This window comes from Homo sapiens, chromosome 14 (assembly GCF_000001405.40).
Source record: "Homo sapiens chromosome 14, GRCh38.p14 Primary Assembly".
NCBI lineage: Eukaryota > Metazoa > Chordata > Mammalia > Primates > Hominidae > Homo > Homo sapiens.
Window position 1 is genome coordinate 39197228 of NC_000014.9, and position 15675 is coordinate 39212902.

Below are 15675 nucleotides of genomic sequence, written 5' to 3' on the forward strand. Positions count from 1 at the left end.
GATGGAAAGGGATAATAGTCTTTGAAATCCATTTTTTACCTTCTTCCTTTGATTATTAGATAGTCTCCAAGCTGGAGACATGTTGCTTATGTGTACAAACTACATTTCTCATTGGCTCATTCAGCTAGGCATGGCTATCATGTGATGTGAGTGGAAGTTATGAGGAAACTTCCAGGTCAGACTCTACTTTCTTTCCCTTTTACCAACTGTAGCATGTGTTTGGTAGTGGTAAGGATGGACCACACAAAGGAGGAAAGTGGAGTAAAGTGACAGAAGGAATCTGAATGATCTTGTGAAACATACCCATCGTACCTCCTATCCTCATTGCAATTTTGTGTGAAAAATACATTTGTCGGCTGGGCGTGGTGGCTCACGCCTGTAATCCCAGCACTTTGGGAGGCCAAGGCAGACGGATCACAAGGTCAGGAGTTTGAGACCAGCCTGAGCAACATGGAGAAACCCTGACTCTACTAAAAATACAAAAATTAGCCGGGCATGGTAGCGCGCACCTGTAATCCCAGCTACTTAAGAGGTTGAGGCAGGAGAATCTCTTGAACCCGGGAGGCGGAGGTTGCAGTGAGCTGAGATCGCGCCACTGCACTCCAGCCTGGGCGACAGAGCGAGACTCCGTCTCAAAAAAAAAAAAATACATTTGTCTTGTTGAAGACAAGGTTATTTGTTCCCTTTGAAAGCAAACAGACATTCTATAACTAACAATACTTTAGAGATGGACTTCTAAGTTGTTTACAATTTTTCTTTTTTTGAGATGGAGTTTTGCTCTTGTTGCCCAGGCTGGAGTGCAATGGCGCGATCTTGGCTCACCGCAACCTCCGCCTCCCGGGTTCAAGCAATTCTCCTGCCTCAGCCTCCCCAGTAGCTGGGATCACAGGCATGTGCCACCACACTTAGCAAATTTTGTATTTTTAGTAGAGACGAGGTTTCCCCATGTTGGTCAGTTTGGTCTCGAAATCCCAACCTCAGGTGATCCGCCCACCTCGGCCTCCCAAAGTGCTGGGATTACAGGTGTGAGCCACCGTGCCGGCCTACAATTTTTCAATATTATAAGTAATTCCAGTGCATATATCTCTTCCCATGTGTAATATTATATCCTTAGAGTAAATTCATATATGTAAAATTGATGGGTCAATGAGACATTTCAAGTATATTGGAAATTTATACAAATTTATAAATTTATACTGCTACCGACTATAGAGGAGGTTGCTTTTTTTCCCCATATCCTTACCAACATGGATTTTGTCAGCTTTATTTATTTGAGGTTGAAAAGAGCAAGCTCATAAAGAAATTTTGTACTCTTCTACTTTTCTTTCTTTTTTTTTTTCTGTTTTGAGACAGAATTATGATCTTGTTGCCCAGGCTGGAGTGCAGTGGCACAGTCTCGTTCACTGCAACCTCAGCCTCCTGGGTTCAAGCAATCCTTCTGCCTCAGCCTCCCAAGTAGCTGGGATTACAGGCGCCTGTCAACACACCCAGCTAATTTTGTATTTTTAGTAGAGACAGGGTTTCACCATGTTGGCCAGGCTGGTCTTGAACTCCTGACCTCAGGTGATCCGCCTGCCTCAGTCTCCCAGAGTGCTGGGATTACAGGTGTGAGCCACTGCGCCTGGCCTTCTACATTTCATTAATAAAGAGTCAAATGTGTTTTCTAGCACATTTGTAGTTTTTTTTACATTTAACTGTTAATATATCTGAAATTTATTTAGTTGTTTAAAAAAAGATAAGAATGGCCAAGCACGGTGGCTCACGCCTATAATCCCAGCACCTTGAGAAGAGGGCGGATCACCTGAGGTTGGGAGTTTGAGACAAGCCTGACCAACATTGAGAAACCCCATCTCTACTAAAAATACAAAATTAGCCGGGCGTGGTGGTGCACGCCTGTAATCCCAGCAACTCTAGAGGCTGAGGCAGGAGAATCGCTTGAACCCAGGAGGCAGAGGTTGCAGTGAGCTGAGATCACACCATTGCACTCTAGCCTGGATGACGAGAGTGAAACTCCATCTCAAAAAAAAAAAAAAAAAAAAAAGGTCAGAATTAACTTTTTTTTTCAAGTTGCTGTTAGTTCTTCCAGTATAATTTATTGAATAATCTTTGTCTCCCTCCCTGAATTAAAATGCAACCATATAGCAAATTATCATATTTTCTTGGGTCTATTTAATTGAATGCTATATTAAATTTTTTTTTTTTTTTTTTTTTGAGACAGAGTCTTGCTTTGTCTCGCAGGCTGGAGTGCAATGGGGCGACGATCTCGGCTCACTGCAAGCTCTGCCTCCTGGGTTCATGCCATTCTCCTGCCTCAGCCTCCCGAGTAGCTGGGACTACAGGCACACGCCACCATGCCCGGCTCATTTTTTGTATTTTTAGCAGAGATGGGGTTTCACCGTGTTAGCCAGGATGGTCTCGATCTCCTGACCTCGTGATCCACCCGCCTCAGCCTCCCAAAATGCTGGGATTACAGACGTGAGCCACCACGTCCAGCCTAAAATTGTTTTATAGTAGGTTTTAATATCTGGTATGCTAAGTCCCCCCCAATATGCTTCTTTTCCAATTTTTCCAAAATATTTATTTTTATTGTTATTATTTTTTTGAGACAGAGTCTCTCTTTGTTGCCCAGGCTGGAGTGCAGTGGTGCGATCTCAGCTCACTGCAACCTCTGCCTCCTGGGTTCAAGCGATTCTCCTGCCTCAGCCTCCTGAGTAGCTGGGACTACAGGCATGCGCCACCATGCCTGGCTAATTTTTGTATTTTTAGTAGAGATGGAGTTTCACCATGTTGGTCAGGCTGGTCTCAAACTCCTGATCCTGTGATCCACCTGCCTAGGCCTCCCAAAGTGCTAGGATTACAGGCATGAGCCACCATGCCTGGCTATATATTTATTTTTAATGAAAACTTTAGAATCATTTTTCAAGTTCCCCAAAAAGTTAACATTTTCATTGCAATTATATGGCCTTTATAAATTTAGAAGTAATCAACATCTTTAGAATATTGACTCTAAACAGAAACAAGTATAACTCTGCATTTATTCTATCATCTATATTCTGCAGTAACATTTTATAGTTTTCTTCATCAGGTCTTGTACATTTTTATTAAGTTTAGCCGTAGAGTGTCTTTTGCTAAAACAAATTATTTGCTATTGTGAACAGGATTTTTTTCTTTTTATTGCATTTCCACCGATTTGTTGTTTATGTATAGGAAATTTAAAAATATTTTTCCAGTTTGCAGGAAGCTCCTTTGTCTACCTCTTGTCTACAGTGGAAACTCCTGTGACTATTTTCTAAGCCATACTTGACTGGATCACAGTTAAAGAAAAAGTGAGGCACTTCTTCAGGAAGACAAGAACATTTCTTTTGGTGGTTGGACTTATAAAATGTTGGAATAATAAGTCTGTCTTTGTCCACTCTGGCTGCTATAACAAAATACCATAAACTGGGTAGCTTATAAACAACAGAAACTTCTCACAGTTCTGGAACCTGGGAAGTCCAAGAACAAGATAAGATTAGGTGTCTGGTAAGGGCCCGCTTCCTCATAGATGGCATCTTCTTGCTGTGACCTCACATAATATAAGGGATGAGGAGTCTCTCTTGGCCCTCTTTTATAAGGTCACGAATCCACTCAAGGACCTCACTTTCTAGTACCATCACCCCTGGGGGCTAGGATTTCAACATATGAATTTGATGGGGGGGGGGTGGGACACAGATATTCAGATCATAGCAAAGTCTTAATTCATTAATATGTAATTTTTCACCTGGTGCAGTGGCTCACACCTGTAATTCCAACACTTCCAGAGACTGAGGCAGGTGGATCACTTAAGCCCAGGAGTTCAAGATCAGCCTGGGTAAAATGGCAAAACCCCATGTCTACAAAAAATACAAAAATTAGCCAGGCATGGTGGCGTACCTGTAGTCCTTCCTAAGGCAAGAAGATCACCTGAGTCCAGGAGGTGGAGGTTGCATTGAGTCATGATTGTGCCACTGCACTCCAGTCTGGAAGACAGGGCAAGGCTGTCTCAAAAAAAAAAAAAAAAGTGTGTAGCACCCCATTAATTAAAAAATGAATAAATATATAAAAAGATGTAACTTCCCTTCCTGAAACTGTTACCAAAAATGTTCTCTTGGGCCAGGCGTGGTGGCTCACACCTGTAATCCCAGCACTTTGGGAGGCCGAGGCGGGCGGATCATGAGGTCAGGAGATTGAGACCATCCTGGCTAACACGGTGAAACCCCGTCTCTACTAAAAAATACAAAAAATTAGCCGGGCGTGGCGGCGGGCGCCTGTAGTCCCAGCTACTCGGGAGGCTGAGGCAGGAGAATGGTGTGAACCCGGGAGGCGGAGCTTGCAGTGAGCTGAGATTGTGCCACTGCACTCCAGCCTGGGCGACAGAGCAAAGACTCAAAAAAAAAAAAAAAAAAAAAAAAGTTCTGTTGACTTTCCCTGTGATATCAGGCGATCTTCACAATTCAGTCCAATTCCATAACCTTAAAAAACATGTTTATTGTTTGATTTTTTAAAATTTTATTTTATGAGATAGGATCTTGCTCAATCTCCCAGGCTGGAGTGCAGTGGCAGGATCACAGATCACTACAGCCTCAACATCCTGGCTCAGCCTTCCAAGTACCTGGGACTACAGCTGCATGTCACCGCGCCCAGCTAATTTTATTTTATTTTTTGTAGAGACAGGGATCTCACCATGTTGCTCAGGCTGGTCTCGAACTCCTGAGCTCAAGTGATCCTCCTGCCTTGGCCTTCCAAAGTGCTGGGACTACAGACATGAACCACCACACCTGGCCAAAAAACATGTTTATTGTTAAAAGTTTTAAACACACGAAGGTAGAAAGAATGTTATAATGAACCTCTATGTACCTATCACTCAGCTTTAACAATTATCAACTTATTGCTATTTTTGTTTCAACACTCCACATATTCCTTACCACACACACACCCTTAGTCTCTGCCACTTGAATCATTTCCAAAACTTTTTGATGGCCTAGGTTTCCTTGCCCACTGGGGCGACTAGCCTCTTTCCACAATGTCTATTTGATCATGAGGACAGTCACATATTACTATGCCATGCAGTAGGAAGACATTGGTCCCACCACTCCTTTCTTTTTTGTTCATTTCTTTCTCTACTGAGTGGCAGCAAGCCTGAGGCGTTACATATTGTGCTACTTTTTGGTTTAGCAATCTATAGATGACACTATGAACAGATCCCTTGGTAGATGGGTTAACTTGAACACCTCCTAGTTAAATAGCAAGGGGGAGGGGACAAACTGAATGCCAAACATCCCCATTCCCATCACCGCACATCAGAAGAGAAGGGAGAAGAGATGATTGACACTACTATGAGCTCTGTGTGCTACCTCCCACCTCCAATATTTAGATTTACAGAAGGCTTGCAAAGAGATTATTGGACTCAAAGATGTCGGTTTTCTGAAAATAGAATATAAAAGTACTCAGTGCCATTTTTGTTCTCAGCTGTTAAGTTCTGTTAGGAAATACATGGAAGACAAGAAAGATACTGCTTGACACATCTATCACCATGTTACACATATAAACTCAAGAAATGTAGGAAATGGCTCCATTGCTGCACTGCTGTTCTGCCTTGCGAGAGAACTCTGGCACAGGCTGCGGGTCCAGAGGCCTGGCTCTGCTTGAAGTAGCTCCCCCTTGCCCTATTTCACTCTGCAGGGCCACTAAGGCCCTGGGACACTGCGAGTGCTAAAGCTACAGACTGTTTGGTTGCAATGTGGTGTCCCTCAGGCGTATAGATTCTTTTTTTTTTTTGGAGGTGAAGTTTTGCTTTTGTTGCTCAGGCTGGAACACAATGGCACGATCTCAGCTCACTGCAACCTCTGCCTCCTGGGTTCAAGTGATTCTCCTGTCTCAGACTCCCAAGTAGCTGGGATTACAGGTGTCTGCCACCACGCCCAGCTAATTTTTGTATATTTAGTAGAGACGGGGTTTCACTATGTTGACCAGGCTGGTCTTGAACTCCTGACCCCAGGTGATCCACCCGCCTCGGTCTCCCAAAGTGCTAGGATTGCTGGCGTAAGCCACTGCGCCTGGCCTAGACTCTCTTTTTAAAGATTAACTGGAGATCATCATGGCGGATGGGAGGCAGAACTAGACTGCAGCTCTGACTCTGATGGACAGAGCAGTGTGTGGAGGCTCACGTCATGAATTTTAGCTTCAGATCAACTGCAATAACAGACCACCAATCCTGAGAGGACCCACAGACCCTCTGAGGGAAGCAGACTGCTCCTGCAGGACCTTGGAGACACCCCAAATATTGTGAGAGCCCCAATTGCGGAAGTGGGAAAGCGAGATCCTCCTCTCCCGAACACACACCCCCTCTGGAGAAACTGAAGGACTGTTTGCAGGAGAAGTTTTTGATCTTACCTGGAGCTGATTCAATTTAGACAGCCCAACAAAATACAGGTGTAGAGGAAGCAGTAGGAAAGGCCCTGGGAACTTGCTGGGTCCCCAGCAGGCCATTCCTGCCTGGCACCACAGGGATCTATCAGGAGAGTGGGCAGAAGAGTGAGGGAAAACACCACAGGGAGAAGGAAATCTCCAGCTGAACTTTGTGACAATTTGAACCTGGTGAGAAGCCTCCTGGCCAGAACTCAGGGGAGGATGCATATCAGTGTGCAGACTCCACAGACTGGGGTAGAACTAAAGCCCTTTTATGTTGCAGCTGGGAGGAGGGTAGCCTGGGGCAAGTTCTCAAGCCCAGCCCACCCACTGTCCAGAAACAGACTTGACGCTGTCAGGGGGTGCATGGTGGGTGTGGGACCAGCTCTTTAGTTTGTGTGGGAGGTGGATGAGGCCTGTGACTGCCAGCTTTCCCCCACTTCCCTGACAACCTGCATGACTCAGCAGAGGCATCTATAATCCTCCTAGGTACACAACTCCATTGACCTGGGAACCTTACCCCATCCCCCACAGCAGCCACAGCAAGACCCGCCCAAGGATAGTCTGAGCTCAGACATGCCTAGCCCTGCCCCCACCTGATGGGCCTTCCTTATCCACTCTGGTAGCTGAAGACAAAGGGCATATAATCTTGGGACTTCAAGGGCCCCACCCACCACTGGTTCCTCTCCATACTACCATAGTTGATGCTCTCTGGAAAGCATCACCTCCCAGCAGGAGGCCAACTAGCACAAAAATAGAGCATTTAAACCACCAAAGCTAAGAACCCTCACAGAGCCCATTGCGCTCCCCTGCCACCTCCACCAGAACAGGTGCTGGTATCCATGTCTGAGAGATCCATAGACAGTTCACATCACAGGGCTCTGTGCAGACAACTCCCAGTACCAGCCCAGAGCTGGGTAGACGTGCTGGGTGGCTCGATCCAGAAGAAAGACAACAATCACTGCAGTCTGGCTCACAGGAAGCCACATCCATAGGAAAAGGGAAGACTCAAGGGACAAAAGAATCTGAACAACAGCCTTCAGCCTTAGACCCTCCCTCTGATAGAGCCTATCCAAATGAGAAGGAACCAGAAAACCAACTCTGGTAATATGACAAAAAAAGGCTCTGTAACACCCCCCAAATAATCACAGTAGCTCACCAGCAGTAGAACCAAACCAAGAAGAGATCCCCGATTTACCTGAAAAAGAATACAGGAGGTTAGTTATTAAGCTAATCAGGGAGGCACCAGAGAATGGTGAAGCCCAGCACAAAGAAATCCAAAAAACAATACAAGAAGTGAAGAGAGAAATATTCAGGAAAATAGATAGCATAAAGAAAAAACAATCAAAACTTCAGGAAACACTGGACACACTTATAGAAATGCAAAATGCTCTGGAAAGTCTCAGCAGTAGAATTGAACAAGTAGAAGAAAGAAATTCAGAGCTCGAAGACAAGGTCTAACAAAGACAAAGAAAAAAGAATAAGAAAATATGAGTCTGGGCAGGGTGGCTCACGCCTGTAATGCCAGCACTTTGGGAGGCTGAGGCGGGCGGATCACGAGGTCAGGAGATTGAGACCAGCCTTGCCAACAGGGTGAAACCCCATCTCTACTAAAGACACAAAAATTAGCTGAGTGTGGTGGTGCCTGCCTGTAATCCCAGCTACTCAGGAGGCTGAGGCAGGAGAATCGTTTGAACAAGGGTGTCGGAGGTTGCAGTGAGCCGAGATGGTGCCATTGCACTCCAGCCTGGCGACAGAGCGAGACTCCATCTAAAAAAAAAAGAAAGAAAGAAAATATGAACAAAGCCTCCAAGAAGCCTGGGATTGTGTTAAATTACCAAACCTAAGAATAATTGGTGTTTTGAGACTAGCCTGGCCAACATGGTGAAACCCTGTCTCTACTAAAAGTACAAAAAATTAGCCGGGCATGGTGGCATGTGCCTGTAGTCCCCGCTACTCAGGAGGCTAAGGTAGGAGGATCGCTTGAACCCAGGAGGCAGAGGTTGCAGTGAGCTGAGATTGTGCCACTGCACACCAGCCTGGGCAACAGAGTGAGACTCTGTCTCAAAAAAAAAAAAAAGAAAAAGAAAAAAAAAGGAATAATCAGTGTTCCTGAAAAAGAGAATTCTAAAAGCTTGGAAAACATATTTGGGGGAATAATTGAGGAAAAGTTCCCCAAACTTGCTAGAGACCTAGACATCCAAAAACAAGAAGCACAAAGAACACCTAAGAAATTCATCACAAAAAGGTCATCACCTAGGCACATTGTCATCAGGTTGTCATCAGGTTATCTAGAGTTAAGATGAAGGAAAGAATCTTAAAAGCTGTGATACAGAAGCACCTATAAAGGAAAACCTATCAGATTCACAGCAGATTTCTCAGCAGAAACCCTACAAACTAGAAGGGTGTGGGGCCCTATCTTCAGCCTCCTCAAACAAAACAATTATCAGCCAAGCATTTTGTAACTAGCAAAACTAAGCATTGCATATGATAGAAGGATACAGTCTATTTCATACAAACAAATACTGAGAGAATTCACCCCTACCAAGCCACCATTACAAGAACTGCTAAAAGGAGCTCTATATCTTAAAACAGGCTGGGGGCAGTGGCTCATGCCTGTAATCCTGGGACTTTGGGAGGCCGAGGCGGGTGGATCACCTGAGGTCAGGAGTTCAAGACTAGCCTGGGCAACATGGTGAAACCACATCTCTACTAAAAATACAAAAATTAGCTAGGCGTGGTGGTGGGCCCCTGTAATCCCAGCTACTTGGGAGGCTGAGGCAGGAGAACCACCTGAACCTGGGAGGCAGAAGTTGCAGTGAGCCAAGATTGTGCCATTGCACTCCAGTCTGGGAGACAGATTGAAACTCTGTCTCAAAAAAAAAAAATCTTAAATCCTGGAAACACATCAAAACAGAACCTCTTTAAAGCATAAATCACACAGGACCTATAAAACAAAAATACAAGTTAAAAAGCAAAAACCAAAACCAAAAAACCCAAGGTACACAGGCAACAAATAGCACAATGAATGCAATGGTACCTCACATTTCAATATTAACATTGAATGTAAATGGCCTAAATGCTCCACTTAAAAGATACAGAACTGCAGAATGGATGAGAACTCACCAACCAACTATCTGCTGCCTTTAGTAGACTCACCTAACACATAAGGACTCACATAAACTTAGAGTAAAGGGATGGAAAAAGAGATTTCTTGCAAGTGGACGCCCAAAGCAAGCAGAGGTAGCTATTCTTATATCAGATAAAACAAACTTTAAAGCAACAGCAGTTAAAAGAGACAAAGAGGGACATTATATAATGGTAAAAGGCCTTGTCCAACAGGAAAATATCACAATCCTAAACATATATGCACCTAACATTGGAGCTCCCAAATTTATAAAACAATTATTAATAGACCTAAGAAATGAGATAGACAGCAACACAATAATAGTGGGGGACTTCAGTACTCCACTGACAGCACTAGACAGGTCAAGACAGAAAGTCAACAAAGAAACAATGGATTTAAACTATACCTTGGAACAAATGGACTTAACAGATATATACAGAACATTTCATCCAACAATCACAGAATACACGTTCTATTCAACAGCGCATGGAACTTTCTCCAAGATAGGCCATATGATAGGCCACAAAATGAGTCTCAATAAATTTAAGAAATTGAAATTATATCAAGTACTCTTTCAGACCACAGTGAAATAGAACTGGAAATCATCTCTAAAAGGAACCTTCAAAACCATGCAAATACATGGAAATTAAATAACCTGCTCGTGAATGAGCACTGGGTCAAAAATGAAATCAAGATGGAAATTTAAAAATTCTTCAAACTAAACGACAATAATGATACAACCTATCAAAACCTCTGGGATACAGCAAAGGCAGTGCTAAGAGGAAAGTTCATAGCCTAAAAGCTTACATCAAAAAGACTGAACAAGCACAAACTGACATTCTAAGGTCATACCTCAAGAAACTAGAGAAACAAGAACAAACCAAACCCAAACCCAGCAGAAGAAAGGAAATGATCAAGATCAGAGCAGAACTAAATGAAATTGAAACAAAAAAATTACAAAAGCTAAATGAAACAAAAAGCTGGTTATTTGAAAAGATAAATAAAATTGATAGAGCATTAACAAGCTTAACCAAGAAAAGAGGAGAGAAAATCCACCAAATAACCTCATTAAGAAATGAAACAGCAGATATTTCAACAGACACCACTAAAATACAAAAGAGCATTCAAAGCTACTATGAACACCTTTATGCACGTAAACTAGAAAACCTAGAAGAGATGGATAAATTCCTGGAAAAGTACAACCCTCCTAGCTTAAATCAGGAAGAATTAGATGTCCTGAACAGACCAATAACAAGCAGCAAGATTGAAATGTTAATTTAATAATTACCAACAAAGAAAAAGTACAGGACCAGATGGATTTACAGCAGAATTCTACCGGACATTCAAAGAATTGGTACCAATCCTTTTGACACTATTCCACAAGATAGAGAAAGAAGGAACCTTCCCTAATTCATTCTATGAAGCCAGCATCACCCTAATACCAAAATCAGGAAAGGACAAAACCAAAAAAGAAAACTACAGACTGATAACCTTGATGAACATAGATGTTAAAATCCTTAACAAAATACTAGCTAACAGAATCCAACAGCGCATAAAAAAGATAATTCACTATAATCAAGTTAGTTTCATACCAGGGATGCAGGGATGGTTTAACATATGCAAGTCAATAAATGTGATACATCACATAAACATAATTAAAAACAAATCACATGATCATCTCAATACACGCAGAAAAAGCATTTGACAAAATCCAGCATCGCTTTATGATTAAAACCCTCAGCAAAATCAGCATACAAGGGGCATACCTTAATGTAATAGAAGCCATCTATGACATACCCACAGCCAACATAATACTGAATGGGGAAAAGTTTAAAGTATTCCCTCTAAGAACGGGAACAAGACAAGGATACTCACTCTCACCACTGCTCTTCAATATAGTGCTGGAAGTCCTAGCAATCAGATATGGGTGCAAAAAGGTGTCTCAGAAGACTTTCCTCCTTATAATAAAAACTCTATCTACCACATCTCCTAGCCACCCAAATAAACACACATTGGCTCTCCCCAATCTCCAGCTTGCTGATTTGAGAATATTGGGACTTCTTAGCCTCCATAATTACATGAACCAATTCCTTATAACAAATCTCTTCTCATACCTAGAGGCACAATTGACACAAACACATTTTTTAAAAATAAGTCTCTTCATATAGATATATGTAGACACACACATACATACACACATCCCATTGGTTGCTGTTTCTCTGTAGGACCTGACTAATACAGATTAACTTCTTTGTTAGGTATCCCTTTATTAGCTGGGCAGCTTAAGGGAACATCATTGTATCTATCACAAATCTTTATGATTTCAGGTTGTTTCATTTTCCTTGTTTCCGTAGGTTTGAATGTTGAATGTTTTTAAACCCCTGACCCATACACTCAGCTGAAAATAAGAATGAAAAATTAGTTCACATTAGAACAATAATCAGGTGAGAGTAGGGGCGACGATGGTGAAACATGCCCAATTGAGAATGGTAAAGAAAGTTTAATGAGCATGGCTGAATTCACACTTTGTTGGGGTATCACCAAGAGGTCTATGTCCTTGTTGTGGAACTTTGGGATCTGAGAAGCAATTCCTCTGTGCCAGAAGCAGAACTGTGTTGTCATTATTCCTGGGCAGACAGGAAGATGAAAATTTCCTCCTCTCTTCTCAATTTTATTTTTATTTATTTAGAGACGGAGTTTCGCTCTTGTTGCCCAGGCTGGAGTGCAATGGCGCGATCTCGGCTCACCGCAACTTCTGCCTCCTGGATTCAAGCGATTCTCCTGCCTCAGCCTCCCAAGTAGCTGGGATTATAGGCATGCACCACCACGCCTGGCTCATTTTGTATTTTTAGTAGAGACGGGGTTTCTCCATGGTGGCTATACTGGTCTCGAACTCCGACCTCAGGTGATCCACCCGCCTCCGCCTCCCAAAGTGCTGGAATTACAGGCGTGAGCCACCGTGCCCAGGCTTATTTATTTTTTTGAGACCGAGTCTTGCTCTGCTGCCCAGGATAGAGTGCAGTGGCTCACTGCAACCTCCGCTTCCTGGGTTCAAGCGATTCTCGTGCCTCAGCCTCCTGAGTAGGTGGGATTACAGGCGCCTGCCATCATGGCAGGCTAATTTTTGTATTTTTAGTAGACATGGGGTTTCACCATGTTGAGACCAGGTCAGGTTGGTCTCAAACTCCTGACCTCAAGTGATCTGCCCGCCTCGGCCTCCCAAAGTGCTGGGATTACAGGCGTGAGCCACCGCGCCCAGCGTCTCCCAATTTGCAATTATGTGGAAGCACGAAATTATTTCTGGCCAATAGAAGTAAACAGAAGAGGCCAGGTGCAGTGGCTCACCCTTGTGATCCCAGCACTTTGGGAAGCTGAGGCGGGGGGATCACTGGAGCCCCAGGAGTTGGACACCAGCCTGGCCAAGGTGGCGAAACCTTGTCTCTACCAAAAATACAAAGATAATTAGCTGGGTATGGTGGCATGCACCTGTAATCCCAGCTACTCAGGAAGCTGAGGCAGGAGAATTGTTAGAAGCCGGGAGGAGAAGGTTGAAGTGAACCGAGATGGCGCAACTGCACTGCAGCCTGGGTGACAGAGTGAGACTCCTTATTTAAAAAAACAAACAAAAAAAAGTAAACAGGAGTAATATACACCACTTCTGGGTTCCAGGCCTGGTCTTTTTTTTTTTTATTTGGAGACAAGGTCTCGCTCTATGTCGCCCAGACTGGAGAGTAGTGGCGTAATCTTGGCTTACTAAAGCCCCCTTCTCCCAGGTTCAAGAGATTCTCATGCCTCAGCCTCCCAACTAGCTGGGATTACAGGCACATGCCACCACACCCTGCTAATTTCTGTATTTTTAGTAGAGACGGGGTTTCGCCACCTTGGCCAGGCTGGTCCCAAACTCCTGACTTCAAGTGATCCGCCCACCTCGGACTCCGAGGCCGAGGATTACACTTCCTCACTTCCATGTGAGGGGAGCACTAAGACCACTGCGGTCTGATACTATACAAGTATCAACTGTTTCCAGCCATCACTGTAGATATATAATTTTTCTGCTTTTTGATATTTAAGAGTATACAGCAGGGAATATTAAGACTATGCTTATTTTGCCTGTGAATAGTGTGATTTTCCAAAATTTCCAAATCATACTACAGGTTATTTTGAGACTTCAAATCCACTCCCATGCCCACTCCTTCCCCTATGTTGGCATACACTATTTTAGAAGCAGAACTTAAGTTTTAGAGGAGGCACTGGCAATTTGGAATATGAAAGAATGTGGCTGGTTTTACCTTGACTGTTCTTGAATGGCTATTCTTATTTGAGTGAGGCAAACCCAGCATGGGTAGGCGCCCTGGAAGTGGACAAAATAAACCTGTGCTTGTGTGAATTTCTATCTCCTCGTGCTGTTTCCTATATGTCTTCCTTGAGAAAAACTGAGGAAATTGACCGGACTTTTGTTTTGTTTTGTTTTTGCGACAGAGGCTTGCTCTGTCATCTAGGCTGGAGTGCAGTGGCACAATCTCGGCTCACTGCAGCCTTGACCTCTCAGGCTCCGGTGACCCTCCTGTCTCAGCCTCCTGAGTAGCTGAGACCACAGACACATGACACCATGCCCAGCTATTTTTTTTTATTTTATTTTTTTTTGTGGAGATAGGGTCTCCCTATGTCGCCCAGGCTGAGACTTTACAAAAAAAAAGAAAAATCTCTGGCCGGCTGCGGTGGCTCACGCCTGTATTCCCAGCACTTTGGGAGGCCAAGGCGGGCAGCTCACTTGAGGTCAGGAGTTCGAGACCAGCCTGGCCAACATCATGAAACCCTGTCTCTACTAAAAATACAAAAATTAACCAGGCATGGTGGCGTGCACTGGTAATCCCAGCCACTCGGGAGGTTGAGGCAGGAGAATGACTTGAACTGGGGAGGCGTGGAGATTGCAGTGAGCCATGATCATGCCACTGGACTCCGGCCTGGGCGAGACTCCATCTCAAAAAAAAAAAAAGAAAAAATATCTGGGGTCCCCGGCCTCATGCCCGCCTTGCTGCTCAGCCTGCTGGCTGGCCCCCAAAATGTTGCAGCTAAATGTGGTCTCTCCTTCGCCTGCCCCAAAGGATTCAAATGCTGTGGCGACAGCTGCTGCCAGGAGAACGAGTTCTTCCCTGGCCCCTTGAGGATCTTCGTCATCATCTTCCTGGTCATCCTGCCTCTCTTGTGCATCTGTGGCCTGGCTAAGCGCTTCTGTCCCAACTGCAGAGACCTGGACCCAGACGCCCTGAAGGATTGCCAGGGGCCCCGGGAACTGCCCTCCATCATCCCCCTAGAGAGGGTCAGAGCATCCCTCTCTACTCCCCCACCCCCCTACAGTGAGTGATTCTGAAGCCTACTCGGGGCCAGAGTCCCACAGAGCCACCCCCTCCCTACAGCTTCAGGCCTGAAAAATATACTGGGGATCAGAGGGCCATTGACAGCCCAGCCTTCTGAGTCACCTCCTGCCTGGAATCTTGCCATCAGCAACCTCCTCCCCAGTGCCTCCTGGATCAAGCTAGAGACTGCTGGCACCCCAGAAATGTCCTTGCCCATCCTGCCATGTCTCTGTTCATTCTTGGATTTAACTTATTGTTTTTTCTGCCTCTGTTCCCAACCCAGCTGCCTCTCTTGTCCTGAGGGTTAGGCTGGAGTGACAGTATCTGCCCACCCCCCAACCCAAGAAAGAGGCTGCTGGAAGGAAAATGCCAACCATTGGAGGTGCCCAAGAGCAGAACGGGCTACTGTGAGGGGTCGTAAGAGCCCCATTTCTGGAGGCATGCAAATCTTGACTGGACAGTCAGCTCTGAAATTTTATCAGGGCACTTCTATACCTGTGGGAGACTGGACTGGATGAGCTCTGAGCCAGCTTCCAATCCTACCTGAATAGAGAACTCACCGTACCCACCCCCAACACATGATAAACACACATCCTCACTGAAAAAAAAATCTCTGATCTATGTGAAATGTTTTATAAACTATAAAGCCATTAAAAACACTAGCTCTTCCACTTTCAATGAATTGACAGTTAAACCTATATAGAAAGTCACTTCATTCAGTTGCTTAAGTGTACATTTTGCAACTCTTCTTATCCTGAAGAGTAT

The 15675-nt window shown here is 44.3% G+C and overlaps 1 pseudogene, besides 4 other annotated features; it reads left to right on the top strand.

Moving 5' to 3' along the window:
• LOC100313942 (transmembrane protein 92 pseudogene) lies at window positions 2644–15513 on the top strand (annotated as a pseudogene).
• Window positions 6269–7035: an enhancer, noted in NCBI's record as "NANOG-H3K27ac hESC enhancer chr14:39672700-39673466 (GRCh37/hg19 assembly coordinates)". NCBI's record gives its function as "activates a minimal SCP1, AML or CMV promoter by ChIP-STARR-seq in naive H9 embryonic stem cells {active_cell/tissue: H9 hESC(naive)}" and the evidence as "EXISTENCE:reporter gene assay evidence [ECO:0000049][PMID:30033119]".
• Window positions 6269–7803: a biological region, named in NCBI's record as "CDK7 strongly-dependent group 2 enhancer GRCh37_chr14:39672946-39674145".
• Window positions 6515–7714: an enhancer, noted in NCBI's record as "CDK7 strongly-dependent group 2 enhancer chr14:39672946-39674145 (GRCh37/hg19 assembly coordinates)". NCBI's record gives its function as "activates an origin of replication core promoter dependent on BRD2, BRD4, P300/CBP, MED14 and CDK7 cofactors, with strong dependence on CDK7, by STARR-seq in HCT116 cells {active_cell/tissue: HCT116}" and the evidence as "EXISTENCE:reporter gene assay evidence [ECO:0000049][PMID:35650434]".
• Window positions 7036–7803: an enhancer, noted in NCBI's record as "NANOG-H3K27ac hESC enhancer chr14:39673467-39674234 (GRCh37/hg19 assembly coordinates)". NCBI's record gives its function as "activates a minimal SCP1, AML or CMV promoter by ChIP-STARR-seq in naive H9 embryonic stem cells {active_cell/tissue: H9 hESC(naive)}" and the evidence as "EXISTENCE:reporter gene assay evidence [ECO:0000049][PMID:30033119]".